This window comes from Homo sapiens, chromosome 5 (assembly GCF_000001405.40).
Source record: "Homo sapiens chromosome 5, GRCh38.p14 Primary Assembly".
Classification (NCBI taxonomy): Eukaryota; Metazoa; Chordata; class Mammalia; order Primates; family Hominidae; genus Homo; species Homo sapiens.
Genome location: NC_000005.10, coordinates 76,267,848 through 76,293,226, shown reverse-complemented (window position 1 = coordinate 76,293,226; position 25,379 = coordinate 76,267,848). Strand labels below are relative to the sequence as shown.

Genomic DNA, 25,379 nt, shown 5'->3' with positions numbered 1-25,379 from the left:
TTCCCTTCCTTCAGAGATTAATGGATTTTCTAGAGCTTGGGTGGGAATTACTTTACATATTCTAAGTCAACCCTCTTAATTTAGAAATGAGGAACTGAGAAATGTCTCCAAGTCACAAGCTAACCAAGTCACCCAGCAGAATGGGCTGCTAGGTCTCCTGACTCCCAGCTTCCTTCTTTCTCCGTATTCCACCTCCTCAGGCACTAAGAAAGAGTGGTCACCTTAGATCACTTGCCTGGTTTGATTTAGGGATGTTAAGAGATGAAACTTGCAACATAAATGTTAGGTTCTATAAGGTACTGAGTTCCTGCTGACCTGAAAGTGTAGAGTATTATCTAATTTTTCTTTTCTAAACAGCAAATTAGGCAACAATAGAGTTGTACACACACATTCTAAAGTGACTATGTCAGCGATTAACAAATAAAATCTTGTTATTTTCTCCCTATTTCCTCTTTTCCTGGAACACATATATGGCAGTTTAATTCATTTGGCAACAACTATTTATTGAGCTGCTATTACATGCCAGGAATATACATCAGTGAACAAGACATAAACAAAATTATTATTATTTTTTTAGAAATGGGGTCTTGATATGTTGCCCAGGCTGGAGGGCAGTGGCTAGTAACAGGTGTGATTATAACACTCTTAAGCTTCCAACTCCTGGGCTCAAGCAATCCTTCACCTCAGCTTCCAGAATAGCTTGGAATATAGGTGGATGGCACCACACTCAGCTTTGAACAAGGCAGTTAAAAACCCCTGTCCTCATGGAGCTTCCAGAGAGGGAAGCCAGAGCTTTACTCTTTATACAGAATAAAGGAGTGTTTTGCATATTAGAAGGTAGAAAGTGCTGTGGGGTAAAGTAGAGCTGAGAAGGGGATAGGGAGTGTGGAGGGGCTGCAATTTTTTAAAAAGAGAGGATGACATCACTGAGAAGGTGACATCTGAGGAAAGAGTTGAAGAGGGTAAAGAAATGAACTGGGCAGATGTCTGGAGGGGAAAGCAACTCAGGCAGAGGAACACCGCAAAGGCCCGAGATGGGAACTGTTCTAGAATGTTCAAAGAAGAGCAGAGAGGCTGGTATGGCTGGGGCTGGGCAAAGGAGGACAGGACAGAGAAGTCATGGGGCAAATCATCCAGGGCCTTACTGGATTTTGCAGATACAATTGGTTTTGCTACCTTAGCTTTATGACAAAACAAATAAAATAACTGGTTTATAAAAACCATAACTCTCAGCAAACCTAAGCTGAAAAAAATTTCTTCCTTAGCAGGTTAACAGCATCAAGCAGTATCAGAAAAGAAAGCAGCATGGCTAGGAGTTACAATGTGGACATTGAACGATTTTGCTTGCCAAGAATTTAAATATCACTTACCCAAAGGACAGGGTGAACCAAACAATTGTAAGCTTTATTGTATTATCCCTGACTGGGTAGTTGAAACATCTCATAAAAGTCAACCAAATCTGTGAAATATTAGAGAGTTAGTTTTCTCATGCAGTTACTTAGTCAACCCCACTCCCCGACCCCTTCCACCAAATTATAAAAAATGCTGAGTTGTCATTGGGTTGGATTCATTTCACCTTAAAATGTAAAAGTTAAAGGTAATTGGAATTTTCATTCTTCAGCTTCCTGGATGTCAATGGACAAGGTAACTCAAGATTTGAAGGCACCCTGCCACTGCCAAGACTCCTGGCCTAACACTTTCCCTTCCCACAGATGGAATGTATTGGCTAAATGCTGGTCGAGTGGGATCCAATTACCTGGCTCTAGTCCAGGAGTCAGGTGTCCTGGGCAGCAGGAAAGAACCTCGCTCATAGGGCAGGCCCAGTAAACCCCTCTTCTGACTAACCTCAAATGCAATAAATTAACATGCAGGTCATCATGGGACTTGTTACTTACTCCGTACAGCTCGGTGCGGATCCGAACAAAACACCTCCTATACCATGTTCCTGTGTCACTCTCAATTTCAATCAGCTCATCTATTTGTTTAGGAGTTTTTATTTTGTTTACCTGTAGAGAGAAACAGACCAAAGCGCTAAGTTACCTTCTCTGAAGTTGCTGAGTGTAGGGTTATAATTTGTTTTTACAGGAGCAAAAACTGACTCCGGCAAGAAGTAGGCGGTATTTGGTAATCAGTTCATACATATATGAGACCACTGCCATAAGTATATGGATCCAAACAGCACCTGGAAGAACTGAAGAAGGAATGAGTGAGAGGGAAAACCACAAAGAAATGGGGGAAGGGCAAGTAGTAATAGAATAATGTGAAACCAAAATGCCCTCCCTGAACCATTACTACAGAGACACACATTAGCAGACAAAACATCCAGATAAGTTAGATTCTGGATTAAGAATTATTTAGCTTGGGCTAAAGTGAGTCTACACATTTTTTTCTTTGAAACCTACTTATTTGATGAATTTGACCCCTAACTATAGTTCTGAAAGCATTCCCATCACTATTCTCAGAGCACCACTTCCGGTCCTTTTCTTCCTTCTCCCACAGCCTAACCCACAGTGGCTAGTCAGCAAATACCCACAGGTAGCCATGATTCAAGATTAAGTGAAGGATTTTTGACTGCAAGCATCAACATGAATTTCTCAGCCATATAAGGGAAATAAATGATAGAGGTTCAGCATGAAAAGCAGCATCTATGACTCAGTTAGCCTCTTTTTGCTAAGGAAGAGAACCACAAGATAGGAGAAGCACAGAGAATGAATCCTGAAAATAGAAAAAAATGAAGAATGGGTCCTTTGTGGGCCTGACCCGCCTTCTCCTGCTAATCAAGATTTACCTGTTTTTGATAAATCTGAGAGGACATGGAAATGTGTACACATTACCCCTGCCAGAGGTTTGAACAGGTTTTTCCGGACATCCTGCCAACATTTAAAGGGGTAACTCTATTGGCAGAGTACAGGTACCTAGGCCAGTTTTGGATAGAGGTGGCTTGGGGACCCTCAGCACCTTTCAAATTATACCAAGTAGGCAGTAGGTTCTTTCTGGCCAGGTAAACAAAGATGTCTGTACTTAGCAAAAATAATCTCTGAGTTAAATATGGAATTCCAAATCAAATGCAATCGGCTCAAAATAATCCATGTAGGAATTATGTTTTTTAAAACTCTAGATTTAAAAAGTTTTTTTTTCTTTTCTTTTTACATCATGGGATAGTCTTAATCCAACATACTACTTTTGGGAGGCTTCCGCTTTTTCACTCATCGATATTTGTTTGTTCATTTATTCATTGGCACCCATGCGGGATGCAAACATAGGCAGCCATGTGGCTCCAAACAATTACCATACAAAACGAAAAAAAGTACTCTAATGGGGATCTATAAAAGATGGGAAGGAAATACTGTTCAGAACAACCTACTTAACCTGGAAGTGAGAGAGAGGCTTCAGGAACTGCAGGCTTATAGAGAAATACGCTATCTGCCATGGATGTAACCTGCTTGGAGGATATTCCAAGTGGGAGAAATACCATGTGCAAACAAATGTCCAGAGTTAGGAGGGAAAATAGTGCACCGGGAAACTGCAAAGAGTTCGCGATTCCTGAAGGATAGTAGAAGGCCAGAGGGCAGTGAATAAGGAGGACTGCACCAAATCAGCAGCAGTGGAGTGATATTTAGGAGGTGGAATAATAGAACATAATGGTTTCTTAGATGTACCAAAGATAAAAGAAAGAATATAGTTTTTGGGTTTAGGTGGTGCTTGTGGTACCTACTGATGAAATTTAGGGCAATGATGAGGCTTGGAGACTGCTTAGGTGATAAATTCAGATTTAAAGATGCCATCTTTCCCCACCCCTCACTGCCCAAAGATGCCATTTTTGAAGGGCCTATGTGATCTAGAAGGATGCCCACAAAGTCCTTCAACCTGCATGTGTGGAGCTCAGGAGATTTGTGCATTAGGATACATGCAGGAAATAGCTGAGATCAGCTAAGGAGAGTGAATAGGGTTAAAGTGGAAGTTAGCTGAAAATGAAGTCTTCGAAAACAATATTTAAGGTAAGGGCACACTAAGAAGAGCTTCAGAGGACACCTTAAGAGGGCCAGGCATGGTGACTCACATCTGCAATTCCAGCCCTTTGCGAGGCTGAGGCAGAAGGATCACTTGAGCCTAGGAGTTTGAGACCAGCCTGGACAACATAAGGAGACCTGTTGTTAATTATCTACAAATAATTCAAAAATCAGCCAGATATGGTGGCACATGCCTGTATTCCCAGTTAGTAGGAAGGCTGAGGCAGGAGGATCACCTGAGCCAGGGAGGTTGAAGCTGCAGTGAGCTGTGATCACACCACTGCACTCCAGCCTGGGCAACAGAACGAGACCCTGTCTCAAAAAATAAGGAAAAAAAAAAAAGAAAAGGAGACCTTAGGAAAATGCATGCAACTTTGCTGTACCGTGGATTTAAAAAATAAAAAGATAAATTTGTTATGGCAGAATCATGTAACAACTTTTTGAAAGTCACATATAAATGACTTTGAAATTATCAATCACTTTTGGAGTATATCCATCTTATTCTCCTCTAACCTTCATGTAACAACATTAACACATCGCCATTAGTGGACTTGGTAACTCAACCCTTTTGGAAGAAAAGGCAGGTAAGTAGGGCAATGAGGCCCTATAGAGACACCTTCTCAGAAGGTCTGGTAAATAAAGGGTTTTTCTTCATCTGGCTGAGAAGAGTTAAGTGATGTTGTATATCCAGATAATGTCTCAAGATTCTTCCAGCCTTATGATCCTTTAAATTAAAATTTTTCCCCTCTATTGTATATCTACTCAAAAGAAGAGAGTCCTCAAAAGCTTCCAGGCCTTAATTGAGGATATCCATTACTTATCTTCATTTCTCCATTATACTGCAGAGAAAATTTTGCTAATTAAGAATCTGTGATAATTTGGATAGAGGCCAAATTGCAGTTTATCTTTACAGTATGAAAAATTCATTTCCTAAATAAAATGAAATTAATAAATGAGATAGCAGGGGACTATTTAATCAGAAGTGATTTCATGTGTTTTAAGAACTGTAATTGATGTTTGTTAGGTATAAGCCACTGAAGATCTTATTTAGGTTCCCACTTATGTCTTACCATATGTCCCTCCAACCTACTGTAGACAAAACATTTTTAGTCTATTTTTTTTTTTTTTTTTTTGAGATGGAGTCGTGCTCTGTTGCCAGGCTAGAGTGCAGAGGCACGATCTTGGCTCACTGCAATCTCCGCCTCCTGGGCTCAAGCCATTCTCCTGCCTCAGCTTCCCGAGTAGCTGGGATTACAGGCAGGTGCCATCACACCCAGCTGATTTTTGTGTTTTTAGCAGAGATGGGGTTTCACCTTGTTGGCCAGGATGGTCTCGATCTCCTGACCTTGTAATCCGCCCACCTCAGCCTCCCAAAGTGCTGGGATTATGGGTGTGAGTCACCACGCCTGGCCATTTTTAGTCTAATTATATGACTGCGTATATTGAAAGATTTTAAACAATTGTTCCTTCCGAAACATTTCCTGCAACCAATTTAAATTAATTTATACTGGCTTTCCCCATGGAGAATCAGCTTTGTAACTAGAGATGGAGGAATGTTCCATGCAGAGGGAACAGCAGCACTGTGGTAGTGCTGTATAGTAAGTCAAATGTTGAGTGTGAGGAGCTGAGGGATGAATGTAGCTGCAGAGAGAGGGGAACTATAAAGCAGGCAGGAAGGAGACTGGCAGGACCTTAGTGTCCGGAGGGAGGGTTTCTGTCTTTATCCTGAGAGCAATGGGAAGCTGCTAGAATGTGAAACTGGGGTATGTGTTATGTATGTGTGTGCCCATGTGCCTGCATGTATAATAAAATGAAATATATATTTTTGGAACTATATCTATGATTCTTTTATACCTTATGTTCATGTCAAGCTATATCAAGTTGAAGCCACATTCTTGGATTACCTTTCTCTGGTTTCCTATATAGCTACTTTCCTTTACCAAATTCTGATTAATTATTAACCTAAGAAATGGCCATGTGTGAAATGTCTGCCTTTATGTAAAAGTGTTACTGAAAATAATGTCCATTATATTGTTCAATATCCCTTATAATAAGGCCTATGAATAAACTTTTCACAAATTAGAACAAGATAAAATTGGCCTTTCCTGAAAAGTGAATACACTACCTGAAAAGCATTTCCTGAAAAGCGAACACATTGCTTTATATCAATAATGATATAATTCATTAAATTTATCCTTTGCTTTGGTTGTCAGGTGATATGGTTTGGCCGTGTCCCCACCCAGATCTCATCTCGAATTGTAGTTCCCATAATCCCCACGTGTTGTGGGAGGGACCCAGTGGGAGGTAATTGAATCATGGGGACAGTTACCCCTATGCTGCTGTTCTCATGACAGTCAGTGAGTTCTGACGGTATCTGATGGTTTTACAAGGGGATTTTCTCCCTTTTGCTCAGCATTTCTCCTTGTTGCCGCCATGTGAAGAAGGACGTGTTTGCTTCCCCTTCTGCCATGATCAGAAGTTTCCTGAGTCCTCTCCAGCCATGCTGAACTGTGAGTCAATTAAACCTTTTTCCTTTATAAATTGCCCAGTCTTGGGTATGTCTTTATTAGCAGCATGAAAATGGACTAATACATCAGGAAACCCAGAGATTAGTTTTATGTTGTTACATTGCTTTGATCCTTAGTATAATTGTTTTCTCACTTATTAGATACTGGTTTTTTTTTGTTTTCAATAAATAATTTTACCATTTACTATGTATTCCAAGGTCTGTTAAAGGCCTCATGGTGGTCCTAACAGAGGCATACCTCTCTAAGATGTCTCTCTGACATCTTAGAGAAAATGTTATGGGGCTGCTATGAGTATACACCTTTGTGGGGGCTGAGTGTCACTTGAAAAGGTATGACCTGGCCGAGTGGAGGAAATGGCCCTGCACAGCCTGGCTCTCTTCTGGTAGCAGGTCAAGGAGAATCAGCTGGCAGTCCCTACACCAAGAATCTCTTGTCCTCGGGTACTGAACCTGGGAGTCAGAGAGTAAGTAAGTCTGTGATGAAAATGCAGTCTTTCCACCTTAACCCCATCTCTTGGGTTGGTGTTATCATTTAACCAACCACAGAGCCCTCGAGTCCTAGATAGGCATAAGCAAGGTTGGCAACCTATGGGCCAAAAACAGCCCTCTGCCTGTCTCTGTAAATAAAGTTTTATTGACACACAGTCATCCCATTTATTTTAACATTGCCTATGGCTGCTTTTGCACTACAATGGCAGAGCTGAGTAGCTGTGTCAAAGACCGTATGACTTGCAAAGTCTAAAATATTTACAATTTTTCCCTTGACAGAAAACATGTCCCAATCCCTGGTGTTGAGGATTCTCTGGGGAGAAGACTCACCGTGAAGACCTTCTCAGGCTGACCCCGGGCTCTCATGTTGGTGTCATGAATTAACTTCAGAATCATCCAAGCTTCATCATGTTTTCCAACCTAAGAAATGAGAGTGGACAGTGAAGCGCTAGGAGTGACACACTTACCCTCCCTGATTTTCCAATAGCCGTCTTGCATTGTCAGATCAAATGAGGTGTAATTGTGCAAATGTATCTCAGTACATCCCATTGGAACATACAGACTATTTGGATATCACTGAATACATGAGCAGTTCAAATAATATGGTTATAACTAGAAATAGTATCTCCAGATGGTAAAATTTCGCTATAAAACAATAAATCATGTTTTCTTCATTGAGCCAAGTTATTTGTTTAAGGAGAAACATGAGTGCTTTCTAGCCATGAGGCAGCTTTTTTACATGTTGGTTGTTGAAAGCAGGTCTCCATGAAACCAAACCCTCCATCATTCTATAATAGGAAGGGAAAATGTACCTCTCAAATAGGCAAATGTGCTTTCCTAGAATTAACAAGGAACTTTTTCCAATAGAGGTGGGCTACCTGAGTATCTGCAATAATAAGTGTTACCTCCAACAAGAATCGTGGGCTTTCAGGCATGAATGTGAGGGCCACCACGGAGGAGACACAGGGGAGTGCACAGACGATGACAAACACACGCCAACTGTGAAACTGGTAGGCCGATCCCATGCTGAAGCTCCACCCTGGAAAAGGAGGACACGGAGAGTGAGGGAGAGCTCCTCCCAGACAGCCTCCTGGGAACATCACCCGGGATGCCCGAACCATGGACTTATTAGTCAAGTCTTACTATCCACAGAGCAGTGAGCTGATCTGGGCATCATCCATGGTGGCCAGCTCAGCTTTAAGACCCATAATGGCAGAGCTGAGAAGAAAGGTGCTTGGAACCAAAGGGGTCAAGGCCTAAGTATGGGGGTGCAGGTATGCATGTACCAAACCCCAAAGGCCAACATAAATTTGGGATGCTTTTTCCAATAGACCACTGTGCTAGTTATCTTTTGTTTGCTCTTCCAGATCACTCTCCACTCTTTCCCACTCTGCTGTGTGCTAGGGAATGGCCCTCTGTGGACTGCATCAACCGGCTCCCTTGCCCACTGGCTTGTAGCTAAGTTTGAATAAAGGAAGGAAGGCAAGAGAACAGAGTGAAGGAGGGTTGGGATATTATTTCCCTTGCTTCCCTTCTCCCTTCCCCCTGACTGGCTGGAGGTCTGGCAGTGTGTGCTCTCATTTCCTGGGCCTTCTTTCACAGCAGCCACAGCTCTTGTCAGGGTCTGGCCACCCCTCCCTCCTGTTGCTCTTTGAGGCACAGGTGGATCCAGGGTGCTTTATTATTCCTTATTGCTTTCTCTGAATGGTTCCCACATCTTCATAAAGAGTCCCTTCGCTAAACACCTTTCCACGGCCCCTTTTGAGGGTGTCACTAGCTTCCTGCTGGCACCCTGACCAGTACAATTATTAGGAATTGGCGGTTGCTGCATGTCTCCTCATCCACCTCATGAAATAGATCCAGAGAATTTTACATTTCTAAATAGAACACTTCAACTTCTAAATATTATAAAAATATAAATTTTTATATAATAGAAAAATAAGCATAATGGGATATAAACAGAAATCCTTTCAAGAACTAAAAGAAAGCTAATATTTGAATAAACATAAAATGGTTGAAAGCAAACCATTTTATATCCATTCAAATGAATATAAAATTCATTCCAATGGCTGGTTCTAAATGAGAAATAATGAGGCATATCAAATCTAATTGAAAACAGAGAGGAGATTTATAAAGGCATAGATGAATTATGTGAGGTGAAATTTTAATTTATAGCAATGCTTGGTATTTATATGCCTTTTTGTGAACAAAAATCAGATAATATACATCCTATCTCCAGGAGAGCTGTATAATTACTCATTGTCTACCTGGGAGCCAAGTGAGATTCTGAAGGTGATGTAACTTCCTCAAGGCCACAGAGCTGAAGTTACACCTTAGTCTTTCCTGCCAGGACTTGAGACAGAATCTTACAGCCACACACAGCCTCATGTGTGTGCATGCTTACTCATTCTTAAATGCTGAATTTGTTGACAAATGATGTAAACATCAATGACATGCTATATTAATCTTAGATTAGTAGACTCTGGGAATTTAATATATGAAGATAGTGTATATTACCATATTAATTATATCATAAACTGTAGGGTGTATGATTGCTATGATGTTTTATGTAGCAGAAGTTCAAAACTCTCACATATCCAAAATGCAGAAAAAAACCCTATGATGGATCAGAGAAAACAACTTGTTGACTTCACATTTGATCTCAGAGCTTCATATAAAGAACTTCTTTTTAAAAGCTCTAAATCCTATTACTTTAAGGCACTGAAAGAAAAATAAAAGCTTTAGGTGGCTGAGTTAAGCAAATGCAATGTTTTAAATTTCAGGCCACAGCACATTTCATAAAGTATAGGGGGAAACAACGAAGGCAAGAGAAGGGAAGGTCTCTGGTACCATTGTTCTTTTGCTTTTGTTTTGGTTTTTGTTTTGAGATGGAGTCTCGCTCTGTCGCCAGGCTGGAGTGCAGTGGTACAATCTCAGCTCACTGCAACCTCCACCTCCTGGGTTCAAGCAATTCTCCTGCCTCAGCAGGAGTCCCGAGTAGCTAGGACTACAGGTGCACACCATCATGCCCAGCTAATTTTTGTATTTTTAGTAGAGACTGGGTTTCACCATGTTGGCCAGGATGGTCTCGATCTCCTGATCTCGTGATCTGCCCACCTCAGCCTTCCAAAGTGCTAGGATTACAGGCCTGAGCCACCGCGCCCAGACTTGTTTTTGTTTTGTTTTGTTGAGATGGAGTCTCACTCTGTCGCTCAGGCTAGAGGGCAGTGGCATGATCTCGGCTCACTGTAATCTTTGCCTCTTGGGTTCACATGATTCTCATGCCTTAGCCTCCTGAGTAGCTGGGTTTACAGGTGCCTGCCACCATGCCTGGCTAGTTTTTTTGAATTTTTAGTAGAGACGGGGTTTCATCATGTTGGCCAGACTGGTCTCGAACTCCTGACCTCAAGTGATCCGCCTGCCTCGGCCTCCCAAAGTGCTGGGATTACAAGTGTGAGCCACTGTGCCTAGCCTCTGGTACCACTGTTCTAATCAATTGTGGAGGAAAAGTTAAATATTAAATTTGAACTCAGATGAACATGGACACAAACAATGGTCACCAAGTCCCAGAACAGGTTATGTGAGCCACTTGAGGCATTCATCCAGCACTGTTTCAGAGAAATCTCTATTTCAATCGACTCTTACACATTAGTTATTGAAAAACAATAGACAATCACAAAAACAGGTTGACTTTTTTGTGTTCCTTGAGCCTAGTCGAGAAGGGCCCTCATGACTGGGCCTCATGCCAAACAATTTGTTACAAAAAGAGCTGGGGTCCCAGACTGCGCCAAAGCTTCATGAGACCTCTCCTTGTCTGTACATGGATGAGTGGCTGACTTTGGAGTCCAGGCTGTTACTTCCCAGTCTGGGGGTGAATCCTCCATAGTCTGGTGAATGTAAATCTCTTTTCCCTTCTCTCCTTCCCATTGCAATTTGCTTATTATGTCAATCTGCTTATTATATCAATTTGCTTATTATATCATTTGCTTATTATATCAATTTGCTTATTATATCTGCATTGCCATTTACGTGGGATAAAGCTTGTTTACCCTTAAAGGTATTGTGTGTGTGCCTTTTCTTCTCCCCTCACATGTTTCTCACACAGAACCTCAATTAGTTCAGAAGGTAAGTTTTCAAAGGCAAATAGGATGAAGTGATTTAACCAAAGAGAAAGTCACTACAATGGATACAGCAGGAAGCTTCTTATGGTAGAATATTCCCTCACCCCTAAAGATGTCCTCATCCTAATCTGTGAATATGTTACCTTACATGCCAAGGGGCTTTGTAAGTGTTATTAAGTTAAGGATCTTGAGACAAAGAGATTATTTTATATTATATGGTTGGGCTCAATGTAAATACAAATGTCCCTAGAAGGAAAAGAGGGAGGCAGGGACAATGAGAAAGGGAGATGGGTTGAGGGAAGCAGAGATTAGTTTGGAGAGAGACTTGAAGATGCTGTGCTACTGGCTTTGAAGATAGAGGAGTGGGTCACAAACTAGGGAATGCAGGTGGCTGGTAGAAGCTGGAAAGACAAGAACACATAATCTCTCCTAGAGCCTCCAGAAGGAGACTCTAGAAGCCCTGCGAATCCGTTTAAACTTTTGATCTCTAGAACTGTCAGATAACAAATTTGTGTTGTTTAAAGCCAACATGCTTATAGCGATTTGTTACAGCAGCAACAGAAACCAATACACTTCTTCTTACAGTTAAAGCTCTACTGCTAACTTGGCTGATAGAAGTTAAGTTGGAGAACCGTAGCATTCTCTATAAAACTTCAGGCTCCCTGCCTTTTTTTTTTTTTTTACTTTGCATAACAAGTTTATTTTTAAAAAAGGCATATAGACAATAAACAAAGTAAATTTTAAATCAGATCTTAACTTCCGTCCTAGAATCGTTCCATTAAGTTCTAGTCTATGAAAACTTTTAGTTCAATAATCGTCATCTTCATCAGAGTCTATTACTTTTCTTCTGTTGAATTTCACTGTTGTTGTCTTTTCTGTTTGTCGGCTTACTTTTTTTAAGGATTTCTATTAAACCTAGTTGTGATACCTTCTCACTTAGTTGTCCATATCTTGTCATCTGTATAAGGTAATTCTCTACTGCTTTAGTTTTTTTAGTCTTTACACGTGCTAAGTTACTTAACCTGGCCAGGGGCCGACTGATTTAGAACTTGGGCTAAGATACTGTTTCTCATTTCTGCCTCCCTGTGCTTTGCTTCCTGTTGGGCCGCATCACCAGGATCCTGTCATCCTGGCAGGCTCAGACCCTGTCGCGCTCTCAGCACCAGGAACACAGCAGACCCTCACTTGTCGGCTGAACTTGGGTCAGAACAACTGAATTCCAGAAAAACTGAATTCGGCCTGGCTGCAACTGCTGGCTCCAAAAGCTGAGATTGTGCTTAGACCTAGGCTTGGCAGGATGAGCCTGCTCTGGGCCAGGGGACCCCACACCCCCACACCCGGGCAGGTCCCGCACCTGGAGGCCCCTGACGCCTGCCTCCCAGGCACCCCCCGGGGAAAGCAGCCAGGCCACCTCGGAGCCGGCCACGAGGCCGCCGGGGCAGGCTCCCTCCTTTTGCTTGGACTTCTCCAGAAGCCTCTCCAAGGACGCCGGGCTCCATCTTGACAGCTGGTCTCGGGAATTTTGTTGAATTTTATTCTTCACTCTTACTGCTCTGGAACATCATATCAGCTGATGGAGAGACTGATTGCAGCATGATTCCAGTCGGGCGGTTTTCAGCCTCCCAAGGAATTGGACCACAATCAAAACCCAGAAGAGAGCTAACTGATGCAGAGTCCAGCTCTGCTCAGCTTAGAATCGTTTCTTCAGGTGTAGATTCTTCCATTGAACAGCTGAAGTTTAGCCTACTTGTTGCTGTTGAGGTCCTTCTCTCCTTCATTGCTTAGTGTGTGTGTGCATATGTGTGTGTGACACACACATATGAACACACACATGCTGGTGGTGTCTCTCTCTCTCTAAAGGGTGTGTTGTCCACTCATTTCTCTCTCCATTTGTTTGTAATATGCTTTTTTTCCCCAGTATCCAAAACCATTTTATACCTTTTTCCATTTCTCTTCAAATCTCCAGCAACCAACTCCACTCCTGGCACTTGACCTTACTTCCTATTTCTTAGAGGAAATAAACACAGAGAGAACTACATACTCCTCATCTTCTCATCCTTGAATCTATTCATCCACCTGCCCCTGTTCCATCTCCCTGTCTTCTCTTTGATTACAACTGATGAGCCGTCCATGTGCCTAGCTAAGGCCACCCTGCTCACATGGGCGGTGGAGCTCATCCTTCTCTTTCCCTCAAGGACGGAACTCCTGTAAGTATCTGTTCCTCCTCTCCAACCCTCATCGTCATGTTCTCTCGCTTTACTTGATGGGTCATTCTATCAGCATATCTCTATCTGACACCTGAGAAAGAGCCCTTCCTCCACTCCCACAGGCTTCTCCAGCTGCACTGCTATTCCTCAGTTCCCCTTTACAGTAAAACCTCAAAAGGATGGTCTATAGCCAGTCTCCACTTTCTCCCCCAGTATTCTCACCCCAAACAGGCTGTTCCCAAATTCCACAGAAACTGCGCTAACCAAGGCCACCAGTCTTTGTCATATTTAATGGTTGCACTCTAATCAAACTCTCTAAATCATTCTGTATAGCTGTCCATTCCACTGTTTTTTGTAAAACTTATTTCCCTTGGCTTCTGCATCACTACATGCTAGTTTCGTTCCCACCTCACTGGCTTTCCTTCAGTTTCCTTAGCTGGCTCCTCTGACTGGCCCCCAAAGGTTGGCACAGTCCAAATCTTGGTCATTAGTCATCTCCTCTCTCCACAGGCCCTTTCTAGGGGCACTAATCTATCTCCAAGACTGTAAGTGCCACCTGCATGCCACTGTCTCTGAAATACATTCTTTTTCTGTTCCCAGAGCTCCAGAAATATACCTCGACCTGCCTACTTACATCTTCACAGAGATGCCTAATGGGTGTCTCAAAGTTACCATGTCTAAAATGGAATTTTGGTTTCCTGCCACACTATCAAGGAAAACTCTTGTTTCTCTCTTACCCTTCCCTATTTCAGCACTGTCAGACCCCAGATACACGTGTCAAAAACTGAGACCTCATCCTCATCTTCTTTTTCCCTCACAATCCCCAATGTTCAATCCATCAGTAAGTTCCAGCTCTAAAATCTACCTCAAAGCCACTCACTTCTCCCTATCTCCATGGCACTGCACAGGTTCTGGCCGACGTGGACCTTCCCCTGACCTTTAGCAACAGCCTCCTGTTTGGTCTCCCTGTCACTCTTGGTCCTCCATAGTCCACTCTTCCTATAGCAGCCAGAGTTATCCTTTTAAAATGTCAATAAGGTCACTTCACTCTGTCACTTGAAAGCCTCCCACAGCTCTGAGTACATTTGGAATGAAACCCAAATGTCTCATCGTGGCACCTAAGGCCTATGTAGACTGCTTCCTATTCATGTATCTGAGCTCATCTTCTGCTGGTCCTCTAACTGGCTTGAGCCAGTCCCATGGACCTGCTTCCAGTTCTCTGAACATAGAGCTTAATCCCATCCTGGGGGCTAAGCCTTTTTCCTGGAAGCCCAGCCACGCATGAGAAAGGATAGAAAGGATGTTTGTTGTATTTTAGCCAGGCTTTCTGAGTTTTGAAGTGAGGGTTTTCAATGTTGTCCCCTAGGAGTCTTGGAATGTGATGTTTTCCTGGTCTGGACAGCTCTACTTGAGTATTTGCATGCATGGCTGCAGGCTTCGTACCTTCCAGGATTCGCTTAAGGGTGTCTCCTCAGAGAGGCTCACACACAAAATCCCACTCACGTAGGCCTGTTTTATTGTCTTGACAGCTCTTATCACTATCTGAAGTTGTCATATTCATGTGTTGTTTACATATTACCTGTCCCTCTCCCACCAAGAGAGCAGGAACCCTGCTTTTCCCACTCATCAAGACCTCCTAAGCAAGTGCTAGTCCATAGGAAGTGTTCTTTTAATGTTTGTTGAACACACACACACACACACAATGTGTACATGAGCATGGGCAAAATCACTGCAGGTTACAGGACCACAGACCCAGATTTTCTTTTGATTATTTTCTTTCTGAATCTACACTAAACAGCAAAATAACCTTGATTCACTTTTTCAAATTAAGTTTGTATTATCTTCATAGAGTAAAACTTTATTTGTTTTTAGTTATACAGTTCTATGAGCTTGACAAATGCAGAGTCATGTAACCACCATCATTATCAGGGCACAGAACAGTTTCATTACCTCAAAACATTCCCTCCTGCTGCCCCTTGAGAGTCACCTCTTCCTCCAGCCCTAACCCCTGGCAATCACTGATCTCTTGTCTGTCCCTATAGTTTTGTCTTTTCTAGAATATCATATAAATGGAATCATATTGTACATAGCTTTTGGAATCTGTTTTTTTTTTTTTTGAGACAGGTCTCCTAGGTCACCCAGGCTGGCGTGCAGTGGCGTGATCTCAGCACTGCAGCCTTGGCTTCCCAAGTGATTCTCCTGCCTCAGCCTCCCAAATGGCTGGGACCACGGGCAAGCGCCACCATGCCCGGCTAACTTTTTGTAGAGACGGAGTTTCACCATATTATCCAGACTGGTCTTGAACTCCTGGGCTCAAGCCATCCTTCTGCCTCGGCCTCTCAAAATGCTGAGGTTACAGGTGTGAGCCATTGTGCCCAGCCTTGGTCTGGTTCTTACACTTTGCGTTACAGTCGAGATTTATGCAAACTGTTGCACATACCTGTGGTTTGTTCTTTTTCATTGTGTTGTAGTATTCCGTTGTGTAAATATATCACATTTAGTTTATCCACTCACCAGTTGAAGGACACTTAGATTGTTTCCAGTTTTGGGTGATTATGAATAAAATTGCTATATACATTTCATACAGGTTTCTGTGTGCCCCCAAAATTTCCTTGGGTAAATATGTAGGAGTGGAATGGTCGAGTCACATAATAAGCTCATGTTTAGCTTTACAGCAGACTGCCAAACCATTTTGCACACTGGTTGTGCCATTTTGAATTCCCACCAGTAGTGTATGCAAGCTCTAGCTGCTTCGCATCTTTCCCTTCACTTGTTAGGTTTCTTTTCTTAAATTTTAGCCTTTCTTATAGGTATCTAGTGGTATCTCATCACAATTTTAATTTGTGTTTCCCTAATGCCTAGTGATATCTTCATTTACTTTTTGTTCATTCATTCCTACTTTAGTGCCTATATGTGCCTGTCATAATGCTGTGATATGGAGACTGATTCCCTGATCTCAAGGAAGTTATAATCCATTGAAAAAGGCAGATATGTTAACAGACAAGGCCAGATGTGTTGGCTCACACCTGTAATCCCAACCCTTTGGGAGGCCAAGGCAGCAGGACTGCTTGAGGACAGGATTTTGAGACCAGACTGGGTAACATAGCAAGGCTTCATCTCTAAAAAAAAAAGAAAAGAAAGAAAGGAAGAAAAAAGCTAGTTGTGGTGGTGCATACCTGTGGTCATAGCTACTAGGTGACAGAGTGAGATGCTGTCTCAAAAAAAAAAAAAAAAGAAAAAGAAAAGGCCAGGTACTGTAGCTCATGCCTGTAATTCCAGCACTTTGGGAGGCTGAAGTGGGTGGATCACCTGAGGTCAGGAGTTCGAGACCAGCCTGCACAAAGTGGCAAAACCTCGTCTCTACAAGAAATACAAAAGTTAGCCAGGCACATGCCTGTAGTCCCAGCTGCTTGGGAGGCTGAGGTGGGAGGATCACTTGAGCCCTGAGAGGGAGTCCTGGAAAGGGTGTTGGGTACTCCTCCTGCCTTGTGGCATGTCCCATAGCAGGGGGCAGGGTCAAAGGCTGATGGGTGATAACCTGTGGCTTGAATGAGAGATAGACACCATGAGGGCCTCAAGAAATGACCCTGCAAATGCTTTGTAAAACTATGATACCATTCTCTGGGTTAAACATAGATATAAGAACGAAGGTGTAAAACACTGACAACCATCACTACTCAGCCATCAATTCTCAGGACCTGCTTTTGAGCTCCATTTTAAGTGGCTTAAATTTGAATTTGAGAGCTACACAAAGCCTACACTACAAAATCAGAAAGTGGAGAGACAGCAACGTGGAATAAAGGACAGGAATGGGAAAACAAGCCACAATCAACTGGGAAAGTGGGTTGTTGCTTTTGGATACTTACCTGCAGTTAGTAAAATGGATTCTTTTAAATGAACCTTTTATATTGGCACCACACCTTTTTGTCTTCAAAATATGTCTTGTATGAGTGATGATTCTAATTATCCTTTGGACTTTGTTAAGATACTCAAATGTTAAGACATTCAAATGTCATACCGAGGAATTTATCTACAGATAATATAAGTTCCATGCAAGGAAGGATCTCAATTTTACAGAAAGCAGTTCTAGCACAGCACTAATCAGTGTGGAGCTAATAAAAGTATTATATGTCATGAATAATAATCAAAGCTTTTTACCAGCCTTAAGCTGATGTGCTCTGTGACCGCAGAAAACAGCTGCCTCCCCAGTTGCCTGACTGTCTGAAACCTTTCAAGGTGCCAAGGCAGAGGTATGTGACACACATACAAGGATGCTGGCTTTCATGTTCTTGTCTGGGCTCTGTCCCTGATCCCCTGGGGACTTGACACCTACTTTGCTGATCTATATTTGTTTTGTTTTTGTTTGTGTTCGTTTTTTTTTTTTTTGAGACAGACTTTCGCTCTGTTGCCCAGGCTGGAGTGCAGTGGCACGATCTTGGCTCACTGCAAGCTCTGCCTCCCGGGTTCACGCCATTCTCCTACCTCAGCCTCCCGAGTAGTTGGGACTACAGGCGCCCGCCACCATGCCCAGCTAATTTTTTGTATTTTTAGTAGAGATGGGGTTTCACCGTGTTAGCCAGGATGGTCTTGATCTCTTGACCTCGTGATCTGCCCGCCTCGGCCTCCCAAAGTGCGGGGATTACAGGCGTGAGCCACTGCACCTGGCCTACTGATCTGTATTTGACTGTCGGTTATGTGATATTATTAATGAAATAGTTTTTGGTAGGAATGCAGATTTTAGGTACAAGACACAAACCCAAGGTTCTAAACGAAAACATTAAGTATCATATGTGAGATCAATTTTTAAGCTAAGAAGTAAATCACCTGTATTGATTTGTCTATGGTCTTCTTTACTCACAAGGCACCTGGCCAACTAAAATTTTCTTTAAAAAGGGGCCCAAAATCCATTTTTTCAAGGGCCCAACAAGCTTAGGAAGAGGACAATGATCAGATAAATTTCTGATTTTGTTCCTACAGATATAAAATTTTATCCCCTCAACATGTCACAGGTTTAAAATATAAATACTATGTAATCTGCATGAAACATTAATCCTTGGCTGGAAACTCAGGTTGTCATGCATCTGTGACTCCACCAGATTTAACCAGATGCAGCTGGATGGTTCCTGTTGCTAATACCAGCAGAGATTTTTCATCTCCTTCTCAATTTGTAAAAAGAAAAAAAAAAAAAGAAGGAGAAAAAGGAAAAAAAAGGCCAAGTAGTAGGTGGAGGGGGGCACATGGAGGGGAGATAGTTAAATAAACTATGGTATAGCCTTACAATGGAATATCATATAACTATTGGGAAAGAATGAGGTCGATTTTTCTAAACAGATATATGGAAAATGTCCAAGTGACATTGCTCAGTGAAAAAAGCACTTTTAAATAATAGTGATTTCATTTATATATATACATAAAACATATCAGTTTTTATATATATACATAAAACATATCTAGAAAATGACTAGGAGGAAAACCCACTAAACTATTTAAAGTGGTTACTCAGGGTAGGGAGGAGAAGCTCATGAGGACTTTTACTTTTTGAAAAAATTATAGTCCTCCATTCTGAAGATTTTCACTTGACATTTCTTTAATGTTTGAATTTTCTAGTGTCTTGTATAACTTTTTACCCAAAAAGGAAAAGAGAAAGCTTTTCAAAGAGTTGCAAGCCTTTACATTTTTTGAGACACAGGCCCTGATGGGAGAAGAGAGAGGAGAAAGAATCAAATTATAATTGTGCCACTATTCAATACTTACATATTTTTCTGAACTAAACGAATGTTAATTCTGATTGTGACAAATCTAAACACTGACAATACAGGTCTCACTTATGGATACCAAGGCGAAAGTGCCAGATTCTATCCTGGTATCTCTGGGTGAAAAAGAGAACAATATTCACAGACCTTTAATCTTTTGACCTATAACCGCAGTCATATTCTAATCTTGGACCCTTGGGGCTGTGGCCGTTCCCCTTGAGCTGAAATCCTGTGAACGCTATTGCCAACAGAGATGCACAAAGCAATCACAATAAAAATAATTGGCAGCGATCTGCCTGCAGCACATAATCATGCATTCAGGAAGTGAGAGCCAATTATACATCCCAGGGAGAGAGTCCAGGGGTTAAATTCCAACAAACTCCAATAGTCATCTGTCTTTAAGAGCAGGCCCGAGCAACAAGCCAACCTTTCCTGCGAGTTTTTCTATTTCTGTTTCCAAGCTCTGGTCTTGCCCTTTGGAATGCGCAGAGGAGCAGCCAGCGGTGGAAGGAAGTCACATTATGCCTCTGCTTCCTGAATTTGACTTATGACCCTAACCGTGCTTTCGAAGAAGCACATTTTCTGGTGGCTTTTGAAACTCACAAATTCATGGGCTTATTTTTTTAGGGTCATTTTTTTTTCTGGAATATCTTCTGTGAGTGCCCCAAATATGCAAAGAGTGAATGAGGGGAACTTTTCAGAAAGGGTTCCTGGGGCCAACATGTAAGACTGACTCAAGCATGGTGCTTCCCAAACTCCAGTGAGAGAAATGATGAGTCTGAGAGTTGAAAAAAGCTGACAGCATGAAATGTGCATGTGTATGTGTGTGTGTCTATATTTTAAGCAAAGGTCCTTTGGGATTTTCTTTTGTATATAGATAATAATATAGTATTAATGTTATGATAGTATAGGTCAATCAGCCTGAAGTTAAAAATATATATATGTGTGTATATATATATATATATATATATATCTTTTTTGTAAAAGATTTTTATGCAAATTTATACTAAAAGAGCCTGTAGGATAGTCAAATGTTGACCAAATGCAACTGAAGCTTATATCATAAATGCATGTTAAGTCAGCTCATTAGTCTATAAATAGACATTGTATATATTCATGTTATTATCTTAAAGCACAAATAGGCACACATTAAGTTTCCTTCTCTATTTTACTCACATAAATGTTTATTTAAAGTGAAATGTATACTTTTGTATTTATATATAAACTATTATATTAGCTGATGTCTGTGGATGAATAATAACAAATCAATTATGCTGATTTTATGAACACATACAGTCTTAGGAGACTGAAAAACAAACAAAAGTAAATATTGGCAATTCTTACATTGGGTAGAAAGTTGGAATACTAGCCTCTAAAGCTCATTCCAGAACTAAAGTTCTCTCTGATTCTAAGATCTTGTGTCTCTACCAGATAAGGCCACAAGAAGGTCCTTTCAAGTATAGATCTAAGGCAAGAAACGAAATACTTTCAAAACAAAAAACAAAACAAAACAAAACACCTTCTAAACTGCAGTTAGTCCTGAGACAAGTGTCCAAAAGTTGATAGAGGACTTGCAGCAAAATAGTGGTGCTTATTTCACATATTAGCAACTTAGTCAATCTGCTTTTCAAAGTAGCTGTCCGTAAAAACCCAAAAAGCCCAACAATAGTATTCCAAACAACTGCATGGTTCTCATTCTCTTCCAGATCAAATTTTCTTTTTGCTGTTTGCACATGGCCCCAGGAAGATCTTGCTCATGATCAACAAAAGCTCTCTGTTTATTCCTAGAAGATTTTTGTGATAACAATACAAAAATTCTAGTGGAATCCATTGTTAGGTGAAAGATTTTTCTCCCGGGGGCAAGGGGGAGAGATTACAGAGCGGGCTATAATATTTCCAGCATTAAGACAGCAGAGGTCAGCCCAGGTGCTCTTTGTTGCTGATGCCCAAAGGGCACACTTGTATACCTCTGCTAACTTGTTGACCTCTGTAACCTGTTTCTTTTTCCTAGCCCCATTTCTTGCCTTATAGTCTCTGATCCAGAACAAATCATTTAACACTTGACAATTGAAACAGCTGCTTAGCTCATGACTCAGGCCCAAAATGACCCTTAGAGTTTTGTCATTTTTGTCAAAGAAATTCCATTCTAATGGGTGGGGAAATGCATGCAACTACAATGACTGGGAGCTCTAATTTCTGGTCCTTGTGCCTCAAGCAAGGGGACATCATACTCTCCCTCCAAGTACAGTGGATGAAAATGTGACTCTGGAATTTTTAGAAACATATTTATTATGTTTCCTAATTTTCAAAAAGCTGATTTCTTGGCTTAATTTCACTGTGATAAGAGCACATACGCCGGGCGCGATGGCTCACGCCTGTAATCCCAGCACTTTGGGAGGCTGAGGCGGGCAGATCAGGAGGTCAGGAGTTCGAGACTAGCCTGACCAACATGGCGAAACCCTGTCTCTACTAAAAATACAAAAAAAAAAAAAAAAAAAAAAAAGAACACATGCTTAGTAGTTTTTTTGAAATACACTGGAGCTTGCTTTATAGCACAGTATATAGTCCATTTTTATAAATGCTCCACGTATGCTCCAAAAGATTGTGTACCCTACAGGTATTGGGTGCAGTGTCTACATACATCTATTAGGTCAAGTTTGTTGATTGTGTTGTTCAAATCATCTATACACTCACTGATTTTTTCCTCCTATTTGTCATGTTAAACTCTTTTCGGTTGTTTTTTGTGGGTAGTCCCAATAACATAGCCCATCACGTTACTGAAAATGGAACAATATACCTGTTATAAAATCAAGACACATCTATATTCCTTTGCCAATATACTTCCTGGCACCCTAATATTTGGCAGAGCGTATGTTAAGGAATTGGTGAGCCCCAAACTGTGGGATTGAGGAGGAAGAAACATAGAAAATCATGGTTACTTGAATTACCACTGAAGACACAAAATGGAATCGTTTAATTTTTATTTCTTTTTTTTCCCTTTTGACATTTCTTCTTGCCTGATAATTTCACTTTTAAAAATCATAGCGATTAGGTCAGACGTGATGTCTCACACTGGTAATACCAGCACTGTGGGAGGCCAAGGCAGGCAGATCACCTGAGGTCAGCAGTTCGAGATCAGCGTGGCCAACATGGTGAAACCCCGTCTCTACTAAAAATACAAAAATTAGCTGGATGCAGTGGTTGGTGCCTGTAATCCCAGCTACTAGGGAGGCTGAGGCAGGAGAAGTGTTTTAACCCGGGAGGCAGAGACTGCAGTGAGCTGAGATCGCACCACTGCACCCTACCCTGGGTGACAGAGTGAGACCCTGTCTCAAAAAAAAAAATAATAAAAATAAATAAATAAATAAATCATAGGGATTAAAAAATGAAACACCTTTCTGTTGAGTAGCAAAGCCATAAAAGGCTTCGCATCTGCTCGTTTGAGCCCCAACACAATATACATCCTGCCCCAACGCAATACACATCCCAGCTAGATATGTCCCCAAGCTATTCTGTAGTGTCATAGCTGCCATTTTGTATTACCTTGTTTCAAAACAGTTTCCCATAGACTTGCAACTTTTTATAAGTTGGAGATGATCAGCAAAGGCTCACCAGCAAGAATAAGCAAATGCAAATCTCCAGCCCACTCTCAGGCTTTGCTGGGAGCCATCAGAATCCTTTACTCTTGTTTTTCCTCCCCTGGGCTGTGATTACACTTCTAATGATTCATCTCACTACAGTCAGACAGGAACGGGGCTTTCCCCCAAAGCAATGAATGCATTTTTTTGTGAACAAACCTAGTACTTCCCCCACACACAACTTAGACTTCCTTCTGGAAAAATAAAACATCCAAGAGTTAATATACTGATATGTAACTCAAAGGAGGCTCTTCCTACAATACAGCTTTAAAGCATGTTTCCTTCAGGTTATATGAATCATAGAGATTAAAAGAAGCCCAAATTAATTAAATTGTTGGCAGAGATGCAATCCACTTTTGCCCATCCAGATTTATGACCCTGCAGGAGACATTCAAATGCTATTTTTCTTCATTCCCCATCCCCTTTCTCCTTTGTCTCAAAATGTCAGGCAACTACCCAGAGTTAAATTTCACCTCTGCTCTCTGGAAAGGCTATTTGGGTCATTCATCTTGGCTCAGAAATAAGTTCCTAGCTGCAACTGAATGTGGAAATGATTGGTCCTGCTGCATCCCAGTGAACGGTTTTCTAGGGCTATGCTGCTGGAAAAATCAAATGCAGAGTGACTGAGTCTGGGACTAATGCAGCAGTTTTTCATTCACTATCACTTCTCTGAATGCTACTTACCAGAAATGATCTAATGACTCAGGGAGACCACAGTGACAAAGTGCTCGAGCATAGGCAGATTGATGCTCCCTCTGGCAGAGGTGGATGTAAAACCAGCTTTGACCAGAATGCTAGTTCCCAGAACTTGCAGATTCAAATGTGGGCTTTCTATCTCCTCACACCCACTCTCATGACAGTTTTGGCAAAGGATAGGCAGGCTCGAGTACCAATTGCAGACTACAGCAGGGACACGGGTAAAGTGGATTCAAAGGTACGCAGCAGATACCTTGAATATTTATAATGCACCCACCATGTGCCAGGCACCTCACACGCATCCTGTTTCGTACATCAACGATCTTGTTGGCTGCCCAGGTAGGGCAATCAAATAAAATACAGGCCAGCAGTTACATCTGATAAAAATTCGTTTTTAGTGTAAGTATGTCCAATGCAATATTTGGGACATACTTCTACTAAAAAGTTTGTCCATTATTTGGAATTCAAACGTAACTAAGGGTCCTGTATTTTTATTTTATACATCTGAGAACTATACCCCAGGAGACATTTGGTAAAGCCTGGAGACATTTTTAATTGTTATGACCTTGGGAAGAAGGGTTACTACTGGCATTTTGTAGGTAGAGGCCATGGATGCTACTAAACATCTTATAATACACAGGACAGGCTCACCACCTTCAAACAAGAAGTATCCAGCCTAAAATGTCAACAGTGCCTAGGAGGAGAAATCTTGCTGTGAACTAGTCACAGTGTCCATCCATGTCATAGGTGAGGTACTCACAGGTAATAGACCAAAAGCTTGAGGATACTTCGAAACTTCGTTTTCTAACAGAGGTGTGAAAACCGACTTTTAGGAGACCCCTTTTTATTCCTGCATGAATGTGTTTTGTTTTTGTGTTAGTTTTTGCTATGCAATTATAAGCTCTTTTGAATATACTTTTTTGTTATAAAGTTAAACTATAGGGGTTTCCCATACTCTTTTTATGCACCTGGAAGCAACTTTATGTACCCTGAAGTTGACAAGTAAAGGTGACACACAATGAAAGAGTAAAAAGAGTAAAGAAGTGATGTTCCCCTTGGGGTTTTAGTAAGAGTGTAGCATTCTCCATCAAATACTTTCTGAAAACACCCACAGCTTATAAATGGTTATTACCACAGAAAAGTAATAACCATATATTTCCTAAAGCGTTTGCGTTCTTGTCTCATAAAAATGGGAGAAGTTGGTTCTCAAAATTCCCGTGAGTCCTCAGGAATAGGGAAACAGCATCCTTAATAAAAGCACCTGGCACTAACCACATGTCCCTACAAGTTTACACCAATAAAGCTGCAGCCATGCAGCGGGACGGGCCCACACTGGGTTCCACAAGACCTGCAGTGAGAATGCTGGGAATCAGTGTTCTCTTCAGGTCTCTCGAAGCTCCTGCCTCCTGGACTCCACGCTCAGTTCTCATGCATCATCGAGCCCCGTGAATCCAGTATCACCAGTATTCATTGTCTCTCAGCCCTCATCCACCATCACAACTCACCTCTCAATAAGAAAACTTGCTTCACTGCAGCTGCACTTTCCCTTCCCCCTCCCACCTTTTCCAGAATCTGCCCACAATCAGGTTATCTCCTTTCTGTCTACCTTCCAAATACAACTGCCTATAGTACAAGATCCTTTGCAACCTTGCCCCAGCCTGCTTCTCCACACTCATTTCCAACCAGGGGCTCCCCAGTCCAGCTCAGTGATCCCCTCCACTGCACTTTTGTGTGCTAAGAATCACGAGGAGGATATCGTTGAAAATGTATTCCCCTCCTCTGTTACTAGAAATGTCCCACTTAGGAGGGCTGGGCTGGGACCCAGGGATCTGCTTGTGTGGGATCCAAACAAGCACCCCAAGTGGTTCTTATGCAGGTCTGCACAATGAGAAACACAGCTTCAGTCCTACTGCATTAATTTCTGTTGCCTGTACCCAC

General features: G+C 41.7%; 1 protein-coding gene and 1 pseudogene across 6 annotated transcripts in view, besides 2 other annotated features; both read right to left on the bottom strand.

Moving 5' to 3' along the window:
* Positions 1-25,379, bottom strand: part of SV2C (synaptic vesicle glycoprotein 2C) — a 506,476-nt gene that overhangs the window by 60,713 nt on the left and 420,384 nt on the right. For 4 of the 6 annotated variants that reach the window (XM_011543282.4, NM_001297716.2, NM_014979.4 and 1 more), the window contains exons 5-8: positions 7,932-8,065; positions 7,357-7,446; positions 1,896-2,006; positions 1,371-1,459 (exon numbers count right to left, since the gene is read on the bottom strand). In XM_011543282.4, the coding sequence (XP_011541584.2) occupies positions 1,371-1,459; positions 1,896-2,006; positions 7,357-7,446; positions 7,932-8,065 (424 nt within the window). Of the gene's footprint in view, positions 1-601; positions 1,460-1,895; positions 2,007-2,099; positions 2,192-2,533; positions 2,687-7,356; positions 7,447-7,931; positions 8,066-25,379 lie in introns of those variants that run through there. The other 2 variants (XM_017009244.3, XM_047416961.1) reach the window with 2 other exon arrangements.
* PDCD5P2 (programmed cell death 5 pseudogene 2) lies at positions 11,826-12,311 on the bottom strand (annotated as a pseudogene).
* Positions 21,826-22,325: an enhancer, noted in NCBI's record as "H3K27ac hESC enhancer chr5:75566727-75567226 (GRCh37/hg19 assembly coordinates)". NCBI's record gives its function as "activates a minimal SCP1, AML or CMV promoter by ChIP-STARR-seq in primed H9 embryonic stem cells {active_cell/tissue: H9 hESC(primed)}" and the evidence as "EXISTENCE:reporter gene assay evidence [ECO:0000049][PMID:30033119]".
* Positions 22,326-22,827: an enhancer, noted in NCBI's record as "H3K27ac hESC enhancer chr5:75566225-75566726 (GRCh37/hg19 assembly coordinates)". NCBI's record gives its function as "activates a minimal SCP1, AML or CMV promoter by ChIP-STARR-seq in primed H9 embryonic stem cells {active_cell/tissue: H9 hESC(primed)}" and the evidence as "EXISTENCE:reporter gene assay evidence [ECO:0000049][PMID:30033119]".